Genomic DNA, 27,759 nt, shown 5'->3' on the forward strand with positions numbered 1-27,759 from the left:
CTCAAGTTCCTCTATGTAAATGGGGACAGTGATCCTTGCTCTTGGGCTTGTTGGGAGGATTCCATGGAATGATATGTGACACCTGGCACACAGTGTACACTCAGTTATCATCACATATGTCATCTTCAATATGATTTTTGCCAATTAGATGTGGACTTTTTGCGTTCATTAAAAATTTAAACAAACAATAATAACAACAATCACAGTGAGTTTGGGTTTATAATACTGTGGATTTCTTCCTTGGCATGATTGGAGATAAAAGAAGGAACATTCCATGTGATGCTGTGAGGTCCCAGGAAAGGTGTGACAGAGAATCCTGAGTCATGCTTACCTGTCATTACTAGTGGGAATGAGAGCCATCTGGGATGACCTAAGTGCATATTGTTTGCAGACAGTGATAGGTGCTCAGGGAGCAGGAAAGTGGAGCATGAACTCACAATAGAAGGTAGGAGCAGAGACAATCAAGTCCTATCCTACCAGATCAACTGAGAGATTTCTATTCCCTAAAGTTCCACAGTCTTTGTACCCCTCTCACCATGTCAACTTTGCTCTCCTTGAACGATCTTATCCCCTCTCTTGAACCATACTCCCTGTTTTTCTCACATTTACGTCCCCTTCAGGATATGGCAAATTGTCTTATGCTCAGGAAACATTTGCTGAATGAATCCTCTGGAGATCTTCAGAAAATCAGCATATTCCAAATGAAGTGACTGAGACTTAAGCAAGAGACCCAGGGTGGGATGGACAGACTCTTGAATAGCATCTTGATCTAGACCAGTATAAACTCGTGGGACCTAAACAAAAGTGGACCTTTGTTCAGTGAAGAAGATTCCCAGGGAGCAGGTAGAAGCAGATGGAGCTAACTCCAGATACAGGCTGTGCTCTCCGCAGACCCCAGCGTCTTCGTAGATAGGAGGTTTAGCAGATGGTGTTTTTGCATTAAGTTTCTAAATTACCATCTATAAGATCCTCTGTTTTCTAAAAACTAGTTGCCTTAAGGCTTTAAGATTTTAATGTAATTTTAATGTTTGTGTGTGTTGTTAGTGTACCTGTTTCTCAGGTTTGCTATCCCAGATAGGTTATTTGCTAAGATCAGAAGAAAATCAATTGGCAAAAGAACATGCTCACATGTTACATGTTATTACCAGTTGGAACAAGAGCCATCTGGGATGTAAGACTATCCACCAAACGGGTGTGTGGAACTGTCCCTTGGCATTGCACAGGAGGACCACTTTTAGTATGATTTCCTGTGCTGTGGCTATGACATCAGGGAGGCTGAGGCAGGATCACTTGAGGCCGGGAGGTCGGGGCTGCATAATGAGTTCTGATCGTGCCACTGTACTCCACCCTGGGAGACAGAGCAACACCCGTCACTAAAAAAAAAAAAAAAAAAGAAAGAAAGAAAGAAAAGAAAAAAGAAAAAGAAGAACAAATTCAGAAGCTACAATAGGAATAGTTCAGAAACCATCCTCCAGCCTTTTAAAGGCACAGAAGAGCTTTGTTTCACATTCGTTTCGGCTTCCAAAGCAACTAGTCAAGTCAGTTTCACCTGTTTTATTCACAACAGTTATCTCTCCAATCCAGATTCCTTCTTTAAAAAAAGGGAAGAAAAAACATTCTCATATTTCTTGTTTTGCTAGCAAGAAATGAGCTGCAGAACACTTTCAGAGATCCACTAGCTGTTTTCCTTAAGCTGAGGCTGAGAGCTTCAGGGGCACTCCAAAGAAAGAAAGAAAGGAAAGATAAAACAAAGGACGAGAGGCTGGGGGGAAGAAAGAGAGGAAGGGAGGGAGAAACTATAGAGACCACTGTGTGGACACCCACAACTTCTGGTTCTGAGGCTGGTGGGAAAGGAATTTGCAATAGAAGAGGAGGGGAACTGAGAGGAGAGCACTGTATTAAGAGCTTATAGGAATTCTAAAAAGAAAAAAAAAGGAGGCCTTTGATCCATTCCAAAGAGGGAGGCAGAAAACTTCAAAGCAGAATAACAGTCCCCTGCACTCTGCCCTACTCTAAGTACCCGGAGCATTCATTATGAATCAGCCCACCTCCCCTCGGCCCACGTGGGGCTGTGCAAGCCAGACACGCAATTCAGACCCACAGCTTGTTCAGCCTCCCCGAGAACACAGCGTGTGCAAGGTTTGGGAATGGAAATATAGCAGGGTGCCCACTCCTAAGTGGGGTTAATTCACGGATGTGGAAGGAATCTCTACCTTTCGCAGAGACTGCTAGAAACACCAGCTTCCCTTCTTTCTCTTCAAAGGAAGATGGTGTTTTTTTCTCCTTAATCCTGAGTCATTTACAGTAAGATACACGTAAATAATAGTCCAGGAGGTAAAATGTGATCTACACAGTCTCTACCTCAAAAATAAGTTTTTTGGGGGACTTGTTTACCATTCCGAATGTGACCCGGCAGCCCTTTACAAAAAGTAACATTTGCTTTTATTAGATACAGCAGATCTATTTCTGTGAGCACCGCAGATGTAACTGGGATTCATTTTTACTGGATGTCTCAGAAGACCGGGCCGACTGCCAGCTCTCCTGGACACAGGAAGTTACAGGGTGCGGTCACTTCTGCTCACCCATTTCTCCTTCAACAGCGCAGATCACATGCACAGAGTTCTTAGGAGACAGGTCTTCCCCAAGGCAAAGGCACACAGAAATGCTTTCCTTCCCAGCTGCCCCTTGATGAAAGAAACTAAACACCTCTTCAGCATGGATATGACACTAGCCCTCGGCTTCTTATTTTTTGCAATGACTACTCTGTGTCAGAGTCAGTAAAAATCGCAATGCAGAGAAGAGAGATAAAAAGAAACATCCTGGAGAATTCTCCTGGTTATTTTTAAAATATTGTCTCTGTTGACTTGAAGTGGTGTAGAAACAGTTCCATATGCTGTGTTTCTTTTTTCCTGTTGCATCTTATAGTTTAAACATAGATCTTTTATCGGATACAACTTCTGTTAACAATATGGCCTACTGGGTTAGCAAAGAAACCGTTCTTTTCTTACAGTTCTGGATTTGGGGAGGTTGCTCACATTTAACTGTGGAAAGCATTATGCTCTTATGGTCTTTGCCAATTCTTTTCTGTAACACAAACCTAAATTACATACCAATTTCTCGAGGTTCTTGCCTAGTTTGGACCAAATTAGGTCCCACAAATTCCTGATCTTAGCAACTGTGTCTCTCAGTTATTTTCCGTGAGACAATATGTTTGTCTGTACTTCATATTGCTTTGTGGAGACAATTACCAGTGCTATATCCCTATTTTTCTTTTTCTTGAAAAAAAATTTAATTTTTAGAAATTATTTGTATAGGAAAAATGTTAAAATAGAAATAAGAATATAACCTCTTTGACCACCCTGCTCCAGTCCTGGTCCCCTCCCTGGAGGTAGCCGTATTAGCAGACAGGCTCGTGTTCTTCCAGACATTTTTCTGTATATTTGCACACATCTAAATACATAGTCATATGTCTTGTTTTTGTTGTTACCATCATTATACAAATGGAATCATACCATAGAACAGATGCCTCATAATTTATTTACCTATTCCTCTATTAATGGATGCTACGGTCTGAATGTATCTCTTCAAAATTCATGTTGGAACTTAAGACCCAATGTGACAGTATTAAGAGGAGCCTTTGGGGAAGTGATTAAGACATGGGGGCTCTACCCTCATGAATGGACTTAGTGCCTATATAAAAGACACTGAAGCAAGCACTCTGGTCCCTTCTCCCTTCCACCATGTGAGGACACAGTGTTTGTCTCTTTCTTCCTGTGAGGACACAACAAGAAGACTCCATGCCAGAAGCAGAGGGCAAGCCCTCACCAGAAACCCAATCCGCTGGCACCTTGATCTTGGACTTCCCAGGCTCCAGAACTATGACTAATAAACTTCTTTTTTAAATTACCCAGGCTAAGGTATTTTATTGTAGAAACAGGAATGGACTAAGACAATGAATATATACCTTGCCTGTTAATTTGCTGAGAACCAAGGTTTCATTTTCAACATTTACTAGCTAATCTAGCCTAGAGAAGTACAAAGAACCCAGGACTTGGATTTTAGTCCAACAATACTACTAATGTCCAGGTAATCTTCGGCAAATGATCATCCTCTTTGGGCCAACATATCCTCAGCTGTCAGACCAGTGGGCATGTACAGTGAACAACTTAGTACCAGGTACTACAACAACTTACACATGCCTAGGCCCCAGGGCACCATGGTGATTCTGATTCAAAGCTAGGGCTAAGATTGGCTACCCTTAGCAAAGAAGAGTTACTGATGTGTAGGTGAGAAAAATGTCTCACGATTTAGAACAGGATGGGACAAACTACATCCCATGAACCAAATCAGACCTGCCACCTATTATTATAAATAAAGTTTTATTGGAACACAGCAATGCTCGTTTGTTTATATATTGTCTTTGGCTGCTTTAGTGCTAAAGTGGCAGAGCTGAGTAGTTTCAACAGAGATCTCATGACTCACAAAGCCTAACATATTTGTCACTGGGTACCTTGCAAATGTTTGCAGACCTCTGCTTTGGAAAGATCCCTATGGTCACACAGAGGGTGGGGAAGGAAGACAATTTAGAGTGGTGGTGGTGATGGGGGTCTGAGTCAGGGCAAGAGAAAAGAACAATGTGCGAGACACAACACAGGCAGAAGCACAGAAGTTGTGACTGACTGAATGGATAAAAGTATGAGAAACAGAAGTTACCAGTTTCATATTTCCAACTTGGAGGCTTGGGTGATTGTCATTAACCAAGATGAGTGTCATGAAAGGAAAGAAGATGTTTATGGGAAGGTGAGTAAGATTCGAATTAGGGACTTTCTGAATTCAAAGTGCAGATAAAGGTGTCCAGGAAGCAGTTGGAAATATGAGTCTAATATTCAGGAGAGAGGTGGGGCTGGAGGTCAAGCTTGAGCGCCACCATCTTGGAGATGAGAGCAGGTTTCAGGTGAGCAGACCAGACCAAAGAGGGAAAAACATAGAGGCAAGATATTTGAGGAAGAAATTCTGAGAAACCCCAACAGTTAAAGGACTGGCAAAGGAATAAACCTGAGAAGGAGCAATCAGAAGAGTAGAAGAAAACAAACATGATAATATTTGTGAAAGCAGAAGCAACTGATGTTGGCTTTTATAAGAGGTCTTTGTTGGGCTCATGTCGGGGTAAAGAGTGCTCTGAGGATTTGGTGCCTCTTGTCAGTGTCCTGTGGTGGCTTCCATAGAAAACACTCCACACCCATTATCTGCAAGGAGACAGCTGCAGTTTTGCCTCTTCATGTGGTTTCCTCAAACCCACCCCCTGGGAAATGCAATATGATTCTCTCACAGAGCAGATGGGATGCTAACTGGAATCACCTCTGCCTTGCAGAGTTCTCCCTCAGTTGCTCCAACAGTGCCTGGTAGTGTAAACAAGACTGGCTTACCAGTGCAGCATTCAATACCAGTGCTTACCCAGCAGCCATTCAACCAGTCCTGCTGATGCCCCACCATGTGCCAGCCACCAAAGCATCTAGTGCCAAGATTACAACTGTTTCCTTCTGCTCCTGGTTCTTAGAGTTTTTTTTTAAAAAAAATATATAAATGATCTGCATTTAGTGATATATTTATTTTTAATTTTTTTATTTCCATAGGTTTTTGGGGGAACAAGTGGTATTCGGTTACATGAGCAAGTTCTTCAGTGGTGATTTGTGAGATTTTGGTGCACCCAACACCTGAACAGTATACACTGAACCCAATTTGAGTCTTTTATCCCTCACCCCCACCAATGCTTTCCCCCGAGTCTCCAAAGTCCATTGTATTATTCTTATGCCTTTGCATCCTCATAGCTTAGCTCCCACATATGACTGAGAACATACAATGTTTGGTTTTCTATTCCTGAGTTACTTCACTTAGAATAATAGTCCCCAGTTCCATCCAGGTTGCTGTGAATGCCATTAATTTGTTCCTTTTTATAGCCAAGCAGTATTCCATTGTATACATATACCACAATTTCTTTATCCACTTGTTGACTGATGGGCATTTGGGCTGTCCATATTTTTGCAATTGTGAATTGTGCTGCTATGAACATGTGTGTGCAAGTACCTTTTTTGTATAATGACTTCTTTTCCTCTGGGTAGATACCCAGCAGTGGGACTGCTGGATCAAATGGTAGTTCCATTTTTAGTTCTTTAAGGAATTTCCACACTGTTTTCCATAGTGGTTATACTAGTTTCCATTCCCATCAGCAGTGTAGAGGTGTTCCCTTTTCACAGCATCCACGCCAACATCTATTACTTTCTGATTTTTTTTTATCATGGCCATTCTTGCAGGAGTAAGGTAGTATCATATTGTGGTTTTGATTTGCATTTCCCTGATCATTAGTGATATCGAGCATTTTTTCATATATTTTTTGACCATTTGTACATTGTCTGTTGAGAATTGTCTATTTACATCCTTAGCCCACTTTTTGATGGGATTGTTTGTTTTTTTCTTGCTAATTTATTTGAGTTCCTTATAGATTCTGGATGTTCGTCTTTTGTCAGATATATAGATTGTCAAGATTTTCTCACACTCTGTGGGTTGTCTATTTAGTCTGCTGACTGTTCCTTTTGCTGTGTAGAAGCTCTTTAGTTTAATTAAGTCCCACCTATTTATCTTTGTTTTTGTTGCATTTGCTTTTGGGTTCTTGGTCATAAAGTCTGCCTAAGCCAATGTCTAGAAGGGTTTTTTCTGATATTATCTTCCAGAACTTTTATTCTTTCAGGTCGTAGATTTAAGTCCTTGATTCATGTTCTGTTGATTTTTGTATAAGGTGAGAGATGAGGATCCAGTTTTATTCTCCTACGTGTGACTTGCCAATTATCCCAGCACCATTTGTTGAATAGGATGTCTTTTCCCCATTTCTGTTTTTGTTTGCTTTGTTGAAGATCAATTGACTGTAAGTATTTGGGTTTATTTCTTGGTTCACTATTCTGTTCCATTGGTCTATGTGCCTATTTTTAACCATGCTGTTTTGGTGACTATGGCCTTATAGTATAGTTCAAAGTCAAGTAATGTGATGCCTCCAGATTTGTTCTTTTTGCTTAGTCTTGCTTTGGCTATGTGGGCTCTTTTTGGTTCCATATGAATTTTAGAATTGTTTTCTCTAATTCTGTGAAGAATGATGGTGGTATTTTTATGGGAATTGCATTGAATTTGTAGACTGCTTTAGGCAGTATGGTCATTTTCACAATATTGATTCTACTCAATATCCCTGAAGAACACAGATGCAAAATCCTTAAGAAAATACTTGCTAACTGAATCCAACAGCACATCAAAAAGATAATCCACCATGATCAAGTGGGTTTCATACCAGGGATACAGGGATGGTTTCACATACACAAGTCAATAAATGTGATACACCACAAAAACAGAATTAAAAAAAAAATCACATGATCATCTCAAAAGATGCAGACAAAGCATTTGACAAAATCCAGCATTGCTTTATGATTAAAACCCTCAGCAAAATCGGCATATAAGGGGCATACCTCAATGTCATAACAGCCATCTATGACAAACCCACAGCCAACATAATACTGCACAGGGAAAAGTTGAAAGCATTCCCTCTGAGAAACGGAACAAGACAAGGATGCCCTCTGTCACCACTTCTATTCAACACAGTACTGGAAGTCCTAGCCAGAGTAATCAGACAAGAGAGAGAAATAAAGGGCATCCAAATCGGTAAAGAGGAAGTCAAACTGTCGCTGTTTGCTGATGATATGATCATATACCTAGGAAACCCTAAAGACTCATCCAAAAAGCTTCAGAACTGATAAGTGAATTCAACAAAGTTTCAAGATAGAAATTAACGTACACAAATCAGTAGCTCTGCTATACACTGACAGCAACCTAGTTGAGAATCAAATCAAGAGCTCAACCCCTTTTACAATTCCTGCAAAAAATAAAATACTTCAGAATATACCTAACCAAGAGGTGAAAGAGTGTACAAGGAAAACTACAAAACACTGCTGAAAGAACTCTTAGACTTTCTCTATCCCTATATTTGGAAAGAAGGTTGGAGGAGGGGTACAGAAGGACGGAGGGAGGTAGAGAGAGTGTTAAAGAAGAAGGAAAGGGGTAAAAAAGAATGGGAATAGAGGCATGGACTAGAAACTAATTAGATGGTGAGGCAGAGACCTTGCATTGCGTATCTTACATGCACTGGCTTGGCAGCCTTGAGAACTGATGTGTATATTGAAAGCAACAGCACATGCTAGGTGTCCAGCATAATACCTGACATATATTAAGAACTCAATACATGTCTGTTATAATAATATTTTTGAGTATCCAGAGGAACTAGGCCAGCCTTTGAATTGATAGGCCCTTTGGTAATTTTCATACAGCCATGTAGCAAAACTTATATTAAATAAATTGGGGGAATTTCATATTATACTACATTCCTTTTGCATTCTCACTGGCAGGAGTATTTAGCCTGGATGAAACTTGATACTTCAAAAAGAATCACTTGCTAAAGGGAGAAGTGAGCCCCACCTTCTGTTAGGAAGATGTGGTGAGTACATCAATATTACAAAGATTCAGTGTGTTAAATCAATATGTTCAAAGTAGTTTAAATGTCCAATACTGGTTTCCAACTTCTAACTTTTCTCTATCCTCTCTCTCGGCCTCTTTTCAACCATTCCTTCCTTAATCCTTCCACCCATCCCTCTCCTAACCCCCACCATTGTAGACTAATTTCTTTTGGTTATCTTTCTAAGCCTTTGCACACTTTTCCCTATTGACGAGCTTTGCTGTTAGGATTCTCCAGCTACTTCTGCAAAGAGGTTTTCAAAGGACTTTTGAAAATGCAGCACTGTGTATGTTTTGGTAAAATAAAGCAAACATTTTGTGTGGTTGGGTTTGTTGTTTGAAGTGTTGCAGTCTCCCTCTGGGGCCTCCTACTGTCTTCTGACTAGCACCTCAACAGCATCCCTTCCTGCTGATTTGCAGAGGGTTTGATTCTTTTTCAATAGTGCATAATGCTGCTGTCTTATTGCCTGTTTGCTTTAGTTCATATTTCTTCTCCAGATGGATTTTCTATGAAGATCATCCCTATTTGTTTGATCTTTAATTTCAGACCTTGTCATTTTCTTTTCGAGTATGCTTTTTTATGGATGTTTCTTTTGGCAGAACCACTTCCTATGAGCCTCAGTGTGTGTTAATGGCACTTTCATTTATTATCATAGACAATTTCAATTTCTAGAGGGATAGTTGAGTTCTGTTGTGGTTCAAAGGAGAAATAAATCCTCTTGCAACTTTGGCTATTTTATTTCACTTCACTTTTGGCCTCAGAGGACGAGAGAGAAGCTGAGAACATTAGCCACATCTGTCCATGAAGATTTCTCCAATATCAATTTGCTCCCACACCTGATGTACTGAATACTCAGAAAAATGCTCAGGCTATAAAACCATGTCTAAGGCACAGACAGTTTAAGATCAGGCTTTGAATGAAGGCCTCAGTTTATCTTACACATTACTGAAGCCCATTCTATAGAAGACTAATAGTTTCCACAGGTGTCTTGGGTGGAGAAGGGAAAAAAGTCAATGGACTGAGATACTATTGGTCTCAGGAATCATTTGCCCAATCTACCCTAGGCCAAGCTTTGAAGGACAGGCCATCTGAATTCACTGAGTGACTGAATCCCAGCACAGGAAATGTTGATATTCTTATTGATTCTTTAATGGCCATTTTATATCCAACCATCCAGCCATCCATCTATGCATTTATCCATCATTTATAGTAATGTCCCTAAGGCTGCTTTCTTGCTAAAAATAAGGAATATTGACAGCTGAAACTCACTTTATTATTCTGCCACAGTTTTAAGCATCCCTGCAAACACGACTTCTTTAACGATCTCCAGTTTAATTCCACAGTATGGTTCCCTATCTGCATTATTCTCTCCTACTCTGATCATCTTATTTATTTATTTAGACCCAGGGTCTCACTCTGACACCCAGGCCGGAGTGCAGTGGTGCAGTCTTGGCTCACTGCAGCCTTGGCCTCTGGGGCTCAGGTGATTCTCCCACCTCAGCCTCCTGAGTAGCTGGGACTACAGTTGCGCACCACCACGCCCAGCTAATTTTTTTGTAGAGATGGGGTTTCACCATGTTGGATCACCCTACTTTAAAATTGTAATATAGTTCCCTTTTCCAGCAACTTCCATTTGGTTTAACCTGTTCTTTATTTTTTCTTTGCACTTTTCACCTCCTAGCCTAATATATATTGTACTTATTTACTATGTTTACAGTTTGTTTATTGGCTGCTTCAAGAACATAAGCTCCTCTCACCATCTACTCACTGTATTCTAAGTGTGAGGCATATGGTGGGTATTTGGTAAGTATGTGTAAGGCTTCTTGGGGAAATGACCCTTCAGTGCCTTTATTCAATACTCAAGAGTGTTTCTCAGCCCCTAACCTGGCATTGTAGGAGACACAATGTGCGCGAGTGCGCGCGAGTCTCATACACGGGAGTCTCAGCGTGTGTCTCATACATGCTGCTGGATGTGTGGCATGCCTGGCCCCTGCCCACCAATTGCCAGTAGTGACCTTATCATCAATGTAACAATTAAAAACACCCCAGGACATTTCCAAATTCCTCATATGGCTCCAGTAAGGCTTTGCTTGATAATTACTGCAAGTCTTAGAATAAAACCATTTTTTTACACTGTGTTTCCACTTGGCAAATAATTAGTCCACCTTATGGCATCCTAAGGGCACTCTCAGAGATAATACACTTTCTTTTTTATATGCCTCCCTCAACAGATTTCAAAATCCTCTCACACAATTAAAGACAGTGATATTTAATGGTAAAACTCAGCTGTCAATGATGCCTTCTATGTCAGTCATTAACAAGCCAGTAAACCAATATTTACTAAGAGCTTTTGAGCCTGACTTCATGCCATGCAGTGTCCATTTTATAGCACAAATGGTACCCCACCCACTAAGGCTGTGCCTGTGTTACCTGCGGTCAGCATCTCATCTAATCCTTCCTCACATTTTAGCAAAAACCAGGCCCTGCAGTCAAAGAACAAGTTTGACTGATTTCTTTTCACTGGACTGGTCAGTTATTCAACCATGATGGACAAACTGCTGAGTTAAATTGGAATAACACAGGCCAAGAGAATCACATTTAAAGTCAGAGATGGCAAAAATAACAGACATTTCTATGACAGAACATCAACAAATAATTACTGATTGTCTACTGGATACAAAGTACTGTGGTATAGGGCACCAGAAGGTGTGGTTAACATGACATCAATTGTCATTCTGCTGGGTGACAATGAAATATGTATAGGAATGTATACTAATATTCAGATAAATGCAGATACTGCGAGCAGCTATGCTAAGTGCTTTACAGGCACATATCACTTAATCATTAACATGAATACCATAGGTATCCCTATTTTATAGAAGAGGAAGCTGAAGCACAGGGCAGTAAAGGGACAAGGTCACTCAGTCGGGAATTAGTGGGGCAACAGTTTAAATTCAGGTTTCTCTCATGCCAAAGGGTCTTAACCACTGTGTGATAAATCAAATAGTTTTCAGTTGTCTGAAATTTTCAGTTTTCATTTACTTTGGTTGTGTAGGCACAAACACAAGAAGATCTACAGATAATGTATATTTTTTAACTTCCTTTAAATTAATGCATGTTGGATTGCTCTCTACCATTTGCCCCATCTAAGTCTTTGTAGTTGGAATCCATCGTTCTCTGCAAATTTGACATTTGATCATAAATTGCTCATCTCGAGATGAATTACAACACCTCACATTAAAGAGGCACTTAGGGAGACATTTCTATTCCATTTCAAGAGACTTATATAAGAACCCTTTTTGATCTTTCCTAAAATTAAAATGAAAAGCCACATTTTGGCAACATTATGGAATAATACAAATGTTCAATTCTGTGGAAAAAGGTAGAGACATGACTGATCATTTGATATTTAAGGCAAAGAAATAGTGGTTTTATTTGATTTTTCATTTTGAACTCTGTCAGACTGTGATCCTTTTTTCTATCTTCATAGTTTTTAAAAAATAATCATCAGAAACAAGAAACAAAGAGAAAGCAGTAAAACACATTTTCTTTGCCTCCAGGATTGAAGACATTTTCCCCTTGGCATGTACCTACTAAGTAGGAAAACCTAGAATGAAAGTTACTGTGTTGCTTCAGTAACTTCTAAGAAATCAATATAATTTTGGTTTTCTGCTATAACTCTCAAAGCATATTTGATGTATCTCTTAGTCATTGACAACTTTCTTTATACTCTGAAGCAAAGTTATCCCAGCCAAGTGTATGTGGCTGCGGATGATAAAGTATGGCTATTTGAAGTTTGCTTCTTCTTAAAGAGAAATGCAAAGTTCCCAGAAAGACGCTAGATACAACGGTTCACATACACTTCACAAGGCACTTGCCTAACTTCTTGGACCAAATTACATTAAATCTTTGAGCCAAGAAAATTAACTCACCACTCATTGAAAAACAGTATTTCAGCCATGTCATATCTTTGGTTAAGGCAGACTTAACGGGAAAATCTCTTTCCAATATGATATGTGATTCCTTTACAAGTACACAGTTTGTTAAGTTTTATACTTTTTTAAGAAGTAGAGGTTTTTTGTTTTTGTTTTTTTAACCAATGGTACTCTCTCTGTGTGTGTGTGTGTGTGTGTGTGTGTATCCTACCAAATTCCTTAGTTAATAAGCAAGACAAATTTATTCACAGAACTCATTTTGTATTATGTAAATTTTCCAAGAAAAAAAAGAAAATCTTAATTTGTGTTTCAAAGCCTCTCTAGTTTAAGCACAATGACTTTGAAGAAACAACCAAAAAAAAGATAAAATGTGGATGCAGAATGATGTTTATTTTACATGTATATGGTACACATTGGGTACCAAAAGAAAGTCATGGTTAATTACAATAATCACTCTAGTTTGGCCAAATAACATGGAACTAACGACATGAATTTCAACTATGGATAGTAATATTAAGTGGGTTGAAGTAATCTCTACACAATTAATTTTTTCTAGTGCCTTGGCCTCTGAAAACTTATCTTTGGTCTATATGGATCTATGTGCATCTAATTAAAGGTTCATATTTGCAATGCAGGGTTTTAGTTAAGGGAGGTTAAACATGAGATTTCCTTAGAGCGCCTCAGTGTTCATGGGCCTCTATATTCTCATATCTCTGCACCAGCAGTAGGAGGATGTGAGAGCCCAGGGAGCCCTCGAACTTCAAAATTAGATCTGTGGGAGAAAACATGTAAATCTCAGCCAGAAGAATCTATGCCTCCTTTTTCTCCCATGCTGCCTTACTCATAGCACTGATAGCATGCATGATCTGTTAGCCTTCACTATCCTTGCAGAGGAACTGGATTCGGTGGTATGGAAAAGACATATACTATTCCATGAATATCCATGTGCTCTGCTCCATTTCCTGTTCCCTTGCAGATAAGTGAGCATACTCTGACCAGTTCTGGCCAAGGGACTCTGAATGAAAATGCTACCTTAAAGGCCAAAGTATTTAAGAGCCAGCACATGACTCTCCAGCTCTCTCTTATTCTGTCTCAGTGATACAGAGGCTGCAGGCCCAGGTGTCAGAATTATACAATACAGAAAATAGATCTCTTATAAGGGAGTTTGTAAGAAAATTGGCCCTAGAGAGCCACCAGTCCCTTAAAAGAGTTTATATGACAGCCTGGGCAACATAGGGAGACCCCATATCTACAAAAATAAAAAAAAAATTAGCTCGTGCCTATAGTCCCAGTTACTTGGGAGGCTGAGGTTGGAGGGTGGCTTGAGCTCAGGAGGTTGAGGCTGTAGTGAGCCATGATCACACCACTGCACTCCAGCCTGGGTGACAGAGACCCTGTCTCAAAAACAAAGCAAAACAAAACAACCCCCCCCTCAAAAGTTTACATTAGTGGCAAATAAACTTTGTTATGCTGGGAAGATATTACCAAGAATAGCTTAGTTTACTGTGACAATTTAAATCAACTGCTAAGATAACCAAAGTAATCAGAAGCTATAACAGGACATAAATGCTGAGTACAAATATTTATTTTTGTACCTCCTCTATTGGAGAAAATCTAGAAAATAAATTCAATATATATTCCAAAGGAAAAAGGAGGAAAGTCTAGGAAGTTTTTCATTTGGGATAAAAGCCAGGAATAAATATATGACTTTCATTGGAACATTTTCAGGCACTCAGAGATTCAGAGATATCCTTAATGCTAAGTAGATGTATAATTAGCTCCCTGTTTAGGGACTCCAAAATGTGCCATGTCAAAACTGTCTCCTGAAAATGTTGCTTTGCGATTCCAAAAGCAATCAGAGGTTGTTGAAAAATCTTTGGGATTTTGCAGTGTGCAGTTTTCCCCAACAGGCCTAACATTAATCATTATAGGAAAAACATTCAAACTCCCCCATTCTTTCATAGTCTAGTCTAAACATTCAATGCAATATCATAATTCTGCAGACATAAATTCCCTCATTATCTGTGGGCCAGGTCAACCACAGCACAGCCAGCCACCTAGCAGACCCATGAGCAGGGCCTTTTGCAAAGGTGTAGCACTGGCCCTCAAAAAGACTTACAGTTAAGCACTCCAGGAGGCTGCAATTGTGCACAGCAGCCAACCTGTCTAATTGGGTCATTTTTTCACTGGGTGATTTATATAGAATGTGGACTCAAGGCTGACTGCTCTTCGAACAGTATGACTGCTTTTGTCTGACTGTACCAATGAAGCAGGATGGGGTTGCTGGTATTTAAGACCAGGCATTCTGGTCCCAAAGAAACATTGCTTTGGGCTGTAGTTCTGTGTTATTGCAAGAAGCATAGTATCCGATGTTACCAGTGTGGGCTCAGTTACTTCATCTGTAAAATGGGAGGCTATAACCCCACCTACCTCTTAGGGTTCTCGTGAAGATGTGCTTGAGAAGAGCTGAAACAGTGTGCCTGACACAGAGAAAGCATTCAATGAATGTGAACCATTTATGCTATACAGCATTATTACTGATATGAAGTATTAGTGATACATTATTGATATAATTATCATCAACATTATCTGTGATGCTGGTGATATGATGATGATGATGATGATGATGACAGTAATAATCATTTTCTGAGTGCTTGCCATGTGCTTGCCAGTCTACTAAGTGCCTAATGTGGATTACTTAGTGAATCCTCAGGGCAACTATTGAGACTATTATCTCCTTTTGATGAATGAAGACACTGAGTCTTAGAAAGGTTAAGAAGCTTGATCAAAGAAGTAATAAAGCTGAAATAGAAGCCAAGCAGTTTGACTTCCGAGCCTGTGCCCTTAGTTACTACCCTCTACCCCAGCATTGACACAAACACAACCACAGCTTTTATTAGTTGTCCTTATAATGACTTAGCCTCATGCGATAAGACTGTCTGTCCCAGATAGAGCCACAAGTTACTTAACATATCTCAGTGTCAGCAGCCACAACCTGCTAGGTAACTACAACTCCAAAGTGCCCTGCCTCCTGAATGAGATGGAAAATCAGTGGAATAGGGAATGGGGGTTCTGCTTGGAAATAACCTGTAACCAGACCAGTTAAGGTGGAAAGGGGTGGCTGTGAAAAATGAAAACAATAAAACAAAACAAAATGCCAAAAAGCAGGGTGATATAGAGAGGGTTTAAAGGGTATTGCTCCCCTTTCACTCCTAGCCTGGGATTCAATTTGTGGCCAAAAGCTGATGGTAAGTGTGTGTGTATTGCAGCCATAGTCAGCAGAGCAAATGGGGACTCTCAACTACTGGTCCTACTTCCCCTAAGGAGCTGGGTAGTTAACATGTTATCCCTGCACCTGAGTAAATTAACCCATTACTCCTTACCCAGTGATCCACTTGCCCCCCCATGATGTGCACTGTAGGGAGTTCATGCTGTTTAGCTCAGAAATTCTAAGTTCACATGGAGTCCAGTTTTCCTGGATTGTACCTTAAGTGGTTGATTGTTGGAGCCACTTCATATCTATATTTAAGTTAGACTATTGAGTACTGTCCCTCAGTTTCAGGAGCCATGGGAGCAAATCGAGGGGCAAAAGTTACTTCTGGATCTTCCCAATCATTTCTCAACCATTGAGTCACAGCCTGTGACACCAGACGTCTTTAACTTAACTCCAACCTCATTGTGCTAGGTTCTGTTTTCTCCTCAATTATTTTTTTTTCTTGCTCTAAGAAAAGGATAATACACCCCTACCTTATCTGTAACATCCAGCCACATTGTCTGGCTTGGTTATGTGACTTTCTTTGCCCAAAGGACTATAAGCAGATAAGAAATATCCATGTCTACATAGAATCTTTAAATGAGGTTGCAAGGCTTAACTTTCTGCATTTTTGTCCTCTGCATTGTGAATAGCATGGCCCCGATGAGGGCTTCTCTGCTTCAGCCTAGGTCTTGGAATAAGAGATGCACAGAATAGAGCCAAGAAGAAGTGCTGCCAACCACAGACTCATAAATGAGAAATAAATATTTGTTTATTTGGGGGTTGTTTGTTACTGCAGCCGAGGCTAATACACAAATTTTTCAATAAGAACTCAGCCTCAGCTTACATCATGTGCGCAAGTGAATCTGGGGATGCTAGGGGCTATCTTCCCTATCATTGAGTGAAAGACTATTTATGTATTAAGCCAACAGGCAAGGACAGAATCAAGAAATGTTGTAAAAGTAAGAGCTCCGAGTCCTTTGAGCCCCTGAATCCAGCTGTGCCTGAAGACTTAATGCTACATGTTATGATTATGTGAGCCAAGACATTTCTTTTACTTTAGCTAGTTTGGATTAGGTTTCTAATCTGGTTTAAATGAATACTGACTTATATCAGGTCTCCTCACTCTTTTGCAATGATATCTGAGCACAAGCATATATGACATATTAAGTAATAGTAATCACATGGGGGTAAGTTACACTGGGGTATAAATCATTGTAATTGAATAAGCCTGTCATGGGTTGAACTGGGTTCCTTCTCCACCCCCAGCTTCAAATGGATATGTTGAAGTCCTAATCACTACTACCTCAATATGTGACATTATTTGGAAATGGCATTGAGGATGCAATTAGTTCAGATGAGGCCATACTGAAATAGGGTGGGCTCCTAAACTTATATAATTGATGTGCTTATAAGAAGACAGCCACATGAAGTTTGAGATACACATAATGTCTTGTGACCATGAAGACAGAGATTGGAGTGATGCAGCTACAAGCCAAGGAACATCAAAGATCGCTGGCAAACTACCAGAAGCTATAAACCAAAGGCAAGGAAGGATTCCTCTACAGGCTACAGAGAGAGCATGACCCTACCAACACCACAACTTCAGACTTCTAGTCTCCAGAACTATGAAACAATAAATTTCTAATTTTTTAAGACACCTAGTTTGTAATATTTTGTTATGGTGGCCCTAGGAAACTAATACAAAGCCCATCAGGTGAATTTTTACCAACAGATCCCATGGAAAACTTCTGATGGAAATCACTATTATACTCATGAAGGTCATTGACAGGGTTTGGCTCTGTGTCCCCACCCAATCTCATCTCGAATTGTAATCTCCACATGTTGAGGGAGAGACCTGGTGGGAGGTGATTGGATCAGGGGGACAGTTTCCTCCATGCTGTTCTTGTGATAGTGAGTTCTCAAGAGATCTGATGGCTTAAGTGTATGGCACTTCCCACTTTGTGCTCTCTCTCCTGCCACCTTGTGAAGAAGGTGCCTGCATCTCCTTTGCCTTCCACCATGACTATAAGTTTCCTGAGGCCTCCCCAGCCATGAGGAATGGTGAGTCCACTAAACCTCTTTACTTATAAACTATTCCAGTCTCACATAATTCTTTATAGCAGTGTGAAAATGAACTAATACAGCTATATTGCCATATCTATGTCCACACAATATCCAGAGACACAGAAAGGAAAAAGGAGGCAGCACAATGCAATGGTCATGCACATTGGCTGAAAGATCAGGAAGACCTGAATTCAAGTCCTAGTTTGTTCATTTACTTTAGGTGATTTCTGACTCCAGTGTTCTCCTGTACATCACAGAAAAATCCATTGTTTCATTCATGATGTTTTATGAGAGTTAAACGAGGTAGTGGATGGGAGGTGCTTTACACTGTGCCTGGCAGAGTATATTTGTTAAACAATAGATAGATAGATTAGCTAAATAGACAGACAGACAGATAGGTAACTTAGACATATAGATAGATGATAGAGAGAGAGAGACAGAGAGACAGACAGACACTTTGGGCGACTATCAAAATATTATAAACTGGTTGGCTTATAAAAAACAAACATTTACTTCTCACACTTCTGGAGGCTAGAAATCCAAGATCAGAGTGCTAGTATGGTCAGTTCCTGGTGAGAACCCTCTTCCAGGTTGTAGATTGTCAACTTTTTACTGTATCCTCACGTGGTGGAAAAAGAGGAAGTTAGCTCTCTGACATCTTCTTATAAGGGCACTAATCCCATTCCTGAGGGGCCCTATCCTCATGGCTTAATCACTTATCAAAGGTCCCACCTTCAAACACCATCACAATGGAGATTATATTTCAACATATGAATTTTGAAGGACACAAACATTCAGTCTATAACAGATAGACAGATATACACACATAAAAATATATCAATGCATAAGTCTATAGATATGAAGGTCTGTATCTTTCCTGCCTATATAAAATTTAATCAAATCATTAGCAGTTAAATAGTGAATTTTCAACACATTCCCAAATAGTTTTAACTTACTTAATATGTTGTGTTGGTGGTAATTTTCTTGTTGTTGTTTTTTAAACTGAACTTGATTGACCTGATTTTATGTAGATATGCAAAGATACCACTTACTCATGCAGACCTTGTTGTGTAAATAACCCAATCTTCTGTCTTTGCAAAGACAATCTTTCCCTAAGAGTTATAATCTCCTCTCAACACATCGATTATATGGATCAAAGGCCCTCTGACTTATATCAGCCTGGGCCAAAATAGTCATTACCAAAGATTTTCCACTTTCCCTCTTTAATAGACTAAGCTTTAGAATTTGGGTAATGGTTTGGATGTCAAACAAAACCTGAGAACTTGTTTAGGTTCAGAAGAAAGTGAGAGTGATAATATTCCTTTCTTCATCAATGGAGCTTTCTACCCTTTCCCGCCTATTATGTCTAATGTTATTGTGCACCAAAAATGAAGCTCTCCTAATCTTCATTTACCTTCATAATAAAGAGAGTCTTTGTGCGAACCATTTCTACTATACTGCAAAGACACAAAGAAGAAGGCCTTTATGCTGAAGCTACAATTTGTTGACATTTTTATGGATATGAACCTGAATTGTCATGAGTGAGCTTGTTCTAGGAGTAGATGTGTCCGAGTTTTCACACATGAAAGACTGGGTCCTGACCTACCAAGAGGCAGTAAATGGAATACTCTGAGGATTAAAGACATTACTCTCAATATGTCTTCCCCATAAGCCTAAGATTCCAATTTAGTGCTACGAGAATCACCCCTCTGTATTACAATATGCATTGAGAAGACTCTCTTTGAGGTGTGTTAGAAAGAAATACCAACACACTTGAAGACCACTAGCTCATTAAGTTGATTAGTTCCTTGCCAGCCTATAATGAAATTCTAAGATCTGGAGGGAATTGAATACTGGATGATTAAGTTTTGGCCAAGCGGTACATTACTAAAGAAATAGGGAGGAGAAAAGGGGGAGCCCTAGTCGCTTAAGAGTAAATCAAGGGGACACAAATAATCTAGGAGGGGATGGTTCCCAAATGGCCCCAGGAAGTCCTGTTGGGATGGGCACCCAGATTTTTAACCATTTTCCCTCACTCCCCATAGTACCTTAAATCAAGAATATCCATGAATGTTACTAAATGCAGCATGCCCAAGATGGAGTCCTCCCCATGAGTTTACAAAGAAGACTCAAGTCAAGAAGACTTGATGGACTAGGAGGTACTACTTAAATGGGAAGGAAAAAGTTTCTTGCTAGATGCTGCAGGAGACTAGAAGATGAGTAGATATTCTGTGATCCTCTCAAAATTTCACAGGTTGAGCTCCTTTGCACGATTCCATACTGTTAGGCTGGGCATTCTTATCCTTTGTGACTGCTGCACAAGGAAGAAAATGAGCCACACTATCCCTTCAAACGCTGAGAGCTGGTTTGACACATTTGTGCTGGTTTGGATAACTAAGTAGGAGACCCAGGACATAAGTGGCAGCTGGCTGGCAAGGATGTCAGATGCAGAAGTACCCAGAAAACCTACTCAGGGTGTTTTCTTCCTTTCCTGGTCCCCTCCTGTTACAGGAAGGCTGACCTCTGCACATGCCATATGAGCTTGGCCCTGCGGTTTGCCTTCTGCCAAAGAAGTCCCTGATATAAAATGGAACTTCAGAACCTTGCCTTTTTAGGAGTGTCATTAGAAATCAAATCAGTATGGGCTGAACAGGCTCAAGGACTGCTGCTTTAGTGTGGCAGCTGAAGTCCAAATTTTTGAGAGTAATTGGGCCCAGGCTGTTAACAGGTGCAGCCACTTCCTACTAGGGAGAAAGAATGCCTGCCATGTGTGTTACACATGGCCTCAGAAGGAAGCCACCTGTCAAGAGAAATGCAGACACTGGGCTGGAGGGGCCCGAACAGTGATGCAAGTCTGAGTGATGACTAAATGAGGCCCCTGCAAAGGCAGAATGGCCCAGGATTGTAATTAAGACACTTTCTTACCTTCGCATGGTAAGATTTGACTTGTTATAGTGCTATTTCTAGTCCTAAACTCACTATACGTCTATGCTATCATTTCTAAATTATATTCCATTCAACACTAGTATTTGGAGAAACACAGTTAATTTTCTGTGAGAAAAAAAAGAGTTCAGTTTTTTGGATTTGCTTAGGAGACACTTCTTTGTACAGGCTCCATCTGGCAATTCTCAGAACACATTATTCTATTATCTAAAAATGGCTGAGTAGTCCTGGAGTATAGAAGCCTGATTAATTTTAAGTCACCTTTCCCTGAACCAATACAGTCATCCCTTGGTATCTATGGGAAATTGGTTCCAGGACCTCCCTCAGATGCCAAAATGCACGGATGTTCAGGTCGCTGATATAAAATGTCATAGTATTTGCATATAACCTATGCACATCTTCACATATCGTTCAAATCATTTCTAGATTATGTATAATACCTAATACAATATAAATGCTACGTAAATAGTTATACTTTATTGTTTAGGGAATAATGACAAGGAAAGAAAAGCCTGCACTTGTTCAGTACAAACACAATTCCCCCCACCCCCCAAATATTTCCAATCCTCCATTGATTGAACCCATGGATATGGAGGGCCAACTGTAAACATTTTCATTAGATCTTTTATAAAAATGTCCCATGGAATCCTATTTGAGAAATTCAGGATTACACAAGTAAACAAAAGTTGAGAGAACTGGTTTTCTCTATCAAATTGGGCAAAGGTCTTCTCTGCCCTTGTCATTATGTGGATACGTTTTTCTATGAGGAGCACTATAGCACAGTGGTGAAGGGAATGGGTTTGGACTTGGACTGCTTGGGTTGGAATACTGCCTCCAGCATCCATTACCTATAGGACTCTGGGCAAGTTACAAAACCTCTCTGCACTGTTTTCTGCAATGTAAAATGGTGGTGGTGTGGGGGGGTGGTGTGGGAATAATAGTAATATCTGCCCCAGAAGGTTGTGGACAGATGAAGTCAGACAGCCTTTGTAAAGAGCCTAGAACAGTGCCTAGTACCCTGTAAGCCTGGGGCAAATGTTAGCTGCAGTCATTGCCACCATCACCATCATCTTGCCATCATCTCCCATCCTCTCTCTCAGAATCAGATTCCAGAAGTCATTTTGTCTCCATTTTCCTCACTGCTCTCCACAGTCATTCACTCTCGCTGTCCCACTCCTGCTTTTGAAAAGCCTCCACCCCTCTAGCCTTCATAACTAGCACAGGCCTTCCTCGCTCCAGGCTGAAATATTACAGCTTTCCCCTAGCTAGGTTCCCTGACCCCAGTCCCACTCTCTACCCAAACAACCTGCCCTCAATGCCCAGACAAACCTGCCTGAAACCCTGCTGTGTTCTTGGCCCCATTCTGCTACAATGTTTCTGCCTTCATTGTCTAGATGGCAGAGTTCAAGGTTACCTTGGGTTGCAACCCTCTCACAAACTAATTCAAACCTGTTTTCCAAACCACATTTATTCCCTCACCCCCAGCTACTGTTCCTGCTGTTCTTCCCACTTGGAATGTCGTTCCTAGCCTCTGCATAGACTCAAATTCCAAGTAGATTCCAGAACCCATCTCAGCTTGTGTCTTCTTCCCAAGGCCTTCCTGATCCCTCCATCTCTTACTCTGGCATGGGACACTAGCATCTGCTCTACTGTGGAGTGGCAGGTTTAGAGGGCTTAGGTTTAGAGACCTGGGCTCATATGCCAGCTCCAAAATGAGCAAGCGGTGAGAGTTTTGATCCAGTTGTGTAACCCCTCTGTGTCTCAGGTTCCTTATCTGAGACTGGAGATTGATAATGCTCTCTCTCCAAAGGGATAGCATGAAACTCAAGCAAAAGTACTTGTACACATTCAGATTTTTTTCCAGTCTTCCTGTGTGTTTTTTGAGGAGCCCTAGATTTGGCAAAGGTGCCTTTGAAGGCGGAAGTAGGAAACTGAAGCGGGCTAGGTTGTCAGACCTCCAGCCCCTGCCTCTACACTTCAACCAGAGCTGCGCTACCTTGATCAATTATATTTATATATTTGGGATCTGGGTGACCTTTACTTAGGAAAAAAAAGAGATCTATTCCACAAAAGAAAGAATAAGAAAACCATCTCATCTCCCAGCTGGGCGCGGTAGCTCATGTCCCCAATCCCAGCATTTTGGGAGGCCGAGGCAGGTGGATCACTTGAGGTCAGGAATTTGAGACCAGCCTGGCCAACATGGTGAAACCCCATCTCTACTAAAAATGCAAAAAAATAGCAGGGCGTGGTGGTACATGCCTGTAATCCCACCTACTCAGGAGGCTGAGACAGGAAAATCGCTTGAACCCGGGATGCAGAGGTTGCAGTGAGCTGAGATCATGCCATTGCACTCCAACATGGGCAACAGAGCGAGACTTCATTTTCAAAAAAAAAAAAACAAAAAGAAAAGAAAAAAGAAAACCACCTCTTATCATTAGTACCATACAGGCTTTCCATAATTATTTCACTATTTCACAACAGTACAGCTGGTCTCCCCAGATACATTGTAACCTCCTTGGGAGAAAGGACTGAGTCATCTTTAAGTATGTATTTTCCCTAGTTAAATATGTTGTACCCGGTAAGTACTTAAATACTTGTTGATGAAGCAGCTCTGCCTTACTGCCCACCGGTTCCTCCAGAGATCACACTTTTATAAGGTTAAGCCCATCAAGAAGTTCCTTTTCCACTTCCCTGAGCAGGCAGCCATGGCTTCTTTATCTCCTTTCACTCTCTTCTGGGAAGATCTACTTCAATCCCAGTGCCATTATCTCTCTCTACCAAACACTGCTCAGAGAATAGCCTCTGAGACCTGTTTCCTTACCAGGATTCAGAGGATCACAGATACTAGAGATGAAGGAGAAAAAAAATAAATCTATCAGGGCATCATGTCCTCTCCTTGTGCAAAACGGTTAAGTCCTGAACATTTTCTAAATATTTGTCAGGCCTGGTATTAAAGGCTTGAAGTGACAAGGTCCCTCAAGGGAGAAGTTGGCATTAAACCTCACTCTTAAAGATGACTTCTTTTACTGACTTTTCAGTTTCATGTTTCACCACTGAATCTCACTTCTCACTTTTAGTTAAATCCCTTCTAAGTAGCCAGGCTACAGTGAGTGGGGGCTACAGAAAAGCCACAGGAGGAGTCAGAAGAGGGTAGAGCTGTCACTCTGTGGGCTATGTTTCCCTCTGACTACAGGTAATCAAAAAGGATGGGCAAGGTGAAATCTTGACATCTCACTTGAACAGAAGTACTCCCCCATTCTTGCAGATTCCCCATCATTCCCATTCAGAGAGCCAAAATGCAACTGTGTAATTATAAGATAATGTCTTATTTTTGTGGCCCCACTGAGGTTACCAACTCAGACACCTATAGGGGCCCTTTGATAAGGATGGCAAACCCACTTCCTTCAGCATATTGCCAGCTCACAGGAAGGTGCATCATGTCACCAGATTATCCCCCTTTAAAAAAAAAAAAAAAAGAAAGAAACCATCTATCAAAATTTCAATGAGGAATCTCTTCATTTTTGAATGTTGGCAATGAATTCAAATTATCTTTAACCCATTGTAAAGGCACAGCTGACACCAGTCCCTTCTGTAGGAGATTTCTTCTCCTTCTGAAATCCATCGCCAATTCATAAGCAAGCACGCAGGAATGGACAATGCTGTATGTTTATTACATTTATAATTTTGTGTGTAGAAGCCTTGCCTCAATCCTCAAAATGCAGACACCTATGCTGCAGTCTTTTGCGTGGTTACATCACTCAACGTCCCCAGTACATATGTTCAGAAAAATGGTCAGGTCCTCAGGGAATAGTTAAAACTGTGCAGGACTAGACTACTTAGGTTTATATCCCTGCCTCAGTGCTTGACAGCTCTGGGACCTTGGGCACCTCAGTTTTCTCATCTATATAATGGTGATGATAATAACAGCCCTGGGCTCATAGGGTTGTTGTGAGGTTTAAATGACATAGCAGGGTGTACATCATTTAGCAAATACACTAGGAGCTTAATAAATGTCATTTGGAAGCTGCTTCACATTTCCACATTCTATTAAAACACCCAGGAACCAATGGTGCCCTCACTTCATCTCTAGATTTTGCTAAAGAGTTGGTTTAATTTTCGCCATGTCTTCGGGTTTCATTTTTACCTCTGAAGGTCAAGTTGGCTTGCTACATTCTTGGCAGAGTCCATAGCCCCTTTGATGGTAGAAAATGATATAAATGAAAAGGTCAGATGATCTTGCCTGGGTTACCTGTCATTCTGGAAGATCACAGCTGTATGCTAAACTAGATCTAGGTATGTGTGTGGGGTGGGGCTGAAGTCTACACCCATATTGTGGTAGGCACAGATATGTACCACCCAGGTTGCCCTTCAAGGAGGGACTTGGCCTCCCAACTGTAAGGTGGATAGTGATTAGCAAGCACTGTTCAGCCATTAGCTACTTGAGAATGGGCCTCAGCTCCAGTGAGCTGCTTCCCTAAAGACCATACATTTCTTGGGCAGCTTTCATTTCCTACAGAGTGAGGCAGGTGTGACAAGATGCTGCTGTTTCCATTCATCACGGAACAATCCAGATAGGCAATAATGAACCCAGGGCTCCCCACTGGCTTGGGTGAAGCTTTGGAGGGCCTACCTCAAAGTCCAGCTTCTACCTTGCCCACTCCTGTTTCTGCCCCTTCCTTTCACAGGTGTTGATGCCTAATAAACATCTTGTACTCCAGAGTCCATCTCAGCACTGCAGCCCAAGAACCCAACCCATGACACACGGGTGTACTGATGCACACACACACTCCTGAAACCCAGACAATCCTTTAAAACTATCTTTTTAATAAACAGAAACCAGCCAAGTTTGATTATAAAGAAAACCAATCGTGCATTGAGACCTATGGGATTAGCAGGGTCAGGGGTATCTATAGAGTTGGGAAGGATTACCACTGATATTTTCTTCCAATTTCTTTTATTGTGGTAGAATACACATAATCTAAAATTTACTATCTTGGCTATTTTTAGGTGTACAGTCCAGTGACAATAAGTACATTTACATTGTGGGCTACAATTGCCACCAACCATGTGCAGAACTCTTTTTCGTCTTGTAAAACTGAAATTCTATACCCATTAAATAACAACTCCCCATTCTCCCTCCCCCCAGCTTCTGGCAACTACCATTCTACTTTCTGTCCATGAGGGTTGACAAATCTAGATAACTCATGTAAGTGGAATCATACAGTATTTGTCTTTTAGTGACTGGCTTATTGCACTTAGCACAATGTCCTCCAGATTCATCCATATCATAGCACTTATCAGGATTTCCCCTTTTTCAAGGTTGAATAATATTTTATTGCATGTATATAACACATTTGATTTATTCAATCATGTTTCAATGGATACTGAGTTGCTTCTACTTCTTGGCTATTATGAATAATGGTGCTATGAATGTGGGTGAACATGGGCGTACAAACATCTGTTCCAGTTCCTGCTTTCAATTATTTCAGGTGTATGCCCAGAAGTGGGATTGCTGGATCATATGGTAATCCTGTTTTTAATTTTGTGAGAAACTGCCACACTGTTTTCCACAGCAGCTGTACCATTTTACACTCCCACCAACAGTGCACATGAGTTCCAATTTCTCCATATCTTTGCCAACACTTCACTCTTTTTTGATAGCAGCCAACTTAATGGGTATGCAGTGATATCTCATTGTAATTTCATTTGCATTTCTCTAGTGATTAGTGATGCTGAGCATCTTTTCAACTGTTTATTGGACACTTGTACATCTTCTCTGGAGAAGTGTCTATTCTAGTCCTTTGCGCATTTTTGAATCAGTGATTTTTGTTGTTGTTGCTGAGTTTTAGGAATTATCTATATATTATGAATATTAATCTATTATCAGATATATGATTTGCAAATATTTTTTCTCACTCTGTGGGTTGCCTTTTTACTATACTGATGGTGTCTTTTGATGTACAAAAATGTTTTTCATTTAAGTCCAATTCATCTATTTTTCCTTTTGATGCCCGTGTCTCTGGTGTCATATCCGATAAATAATTGCCAAATAAAATATCATGAGGCTTTTGCTCTAAATTTTATTCTAAGAGTTTTATAGTTTTAGTTCTTAAAGTTAGGTCGGAGACTCATTTTAAATTTTTATATGGTGTAAGGTAAGGAATGTACCTAACATTAATTGTATTCTTTTGCACTTGGATACAGAGTTTTCCTAGCGGCATTTATTGGAAAGACTGTCTTTTCCTCCATTTAATCATCTTGGCACTCTTGTCAAAAATCATTTGACCACATATGTGAAGGTTTACTTTTGGACTCCTCTATCCTCTATTCTATTCCATTGATGTATAAATCTATCTTTATGCCAATACCACATTGCTTTGACTCCTACAGTTTACAGTAAGTTTTGTAATCATAAAGTATGAGTCCTCCAGGTTTGTTCTTTTCCAGGATTTCTTTGGCCATCTAGGGTCCTTTCAATTACATATGAATTTCAGGATGGCTTTTTGTATGTCAGCAAAAAAAGCATCGTTGGAATTGTCACAGGGATTGTGTTAAGTCTATAGATCGCTTTGTATAGTATTGAAAACAATATTAAATCTTCTAATCCATAAACATAAGATGTGTTTTCATTGATTGATACCTTCTTTCAGAAATGTTTTACAGTTTTCACTGTACAAGTTTTTCACTTCTTTGGTTAAGCTAATTCCTAAGTATTTTATTCTTTTTAATTCTCAATTTTCTTTTCAGATTGTTGTTAGTGGATAAAAATGCAATGTATTTTTGTTTGTTGACTTTGTGTCTTATTGCTTTGTTGAATTCATTTATTACTCCTTACAGATTTTTTTTTTTGGTGGAATCTTTAGGGTTTTCTACATGTAAGTTCATATCATCTGTAATACAGTTTGTATGTTGTCCCCTTCAAATCTGATGTTGAAATGCAATCCCCAATGTTGGAGATGAGTCCTAGTGGGAGGTGACTGGGTCATGGAAGCAGAACTCTAATGGCTTGGTGC

The 27,759-nt window shown here is 40.3% G+C and overlaps 1 protein-coding gene across 8 annotated transcripts in view, besides 1 other annotated feature; it reads right to left on the bottom strand.

The window, feature by feature from the left end:
• Nucleotides 1-27,759, bottom strand: part of FHIT (fragile histidine triad diadenosine triphosphatase) — a 1,504,176-nt gene that overhangs the window by 68,911 nt on the left and 1,407,506 nt on the right. The gene's annotated exons all lie outside the window — the stretch shown is intronic.
• Nucleotides 1,745-2,944: an enhancer, noted in NCBI's record as "P300/CBP strongly-dependent group 1 enhancer chr3:59803658-59804857 (GRCh37/hg19 assembly coordinates)". NCBI's record gives its function as "activates an origin of replication core promoter dependent on BRD2, BRD4, P300/CBP, MED14 and CDK7 cofactors, with strong dependence on P300/CBP, by STARR-seq in HCT116 cells {active_cell/tissue: HCT116}" and the evidence as "EXISTENCE:reporter gene assay evidence [ECO:0000049][PMID:35650434]".

Source organism: Homo sapiens, chromosome 3 (genome assembly GCF_000001405.40).
Source record: "Homo sapiens chromosome 3, GRCh38.p14 Primary Assembly".
NCBI lineage: Eukaryota > Metazoa > Chordata > Mammalia > Primates > Hominidae > Homo > Homo sapiens.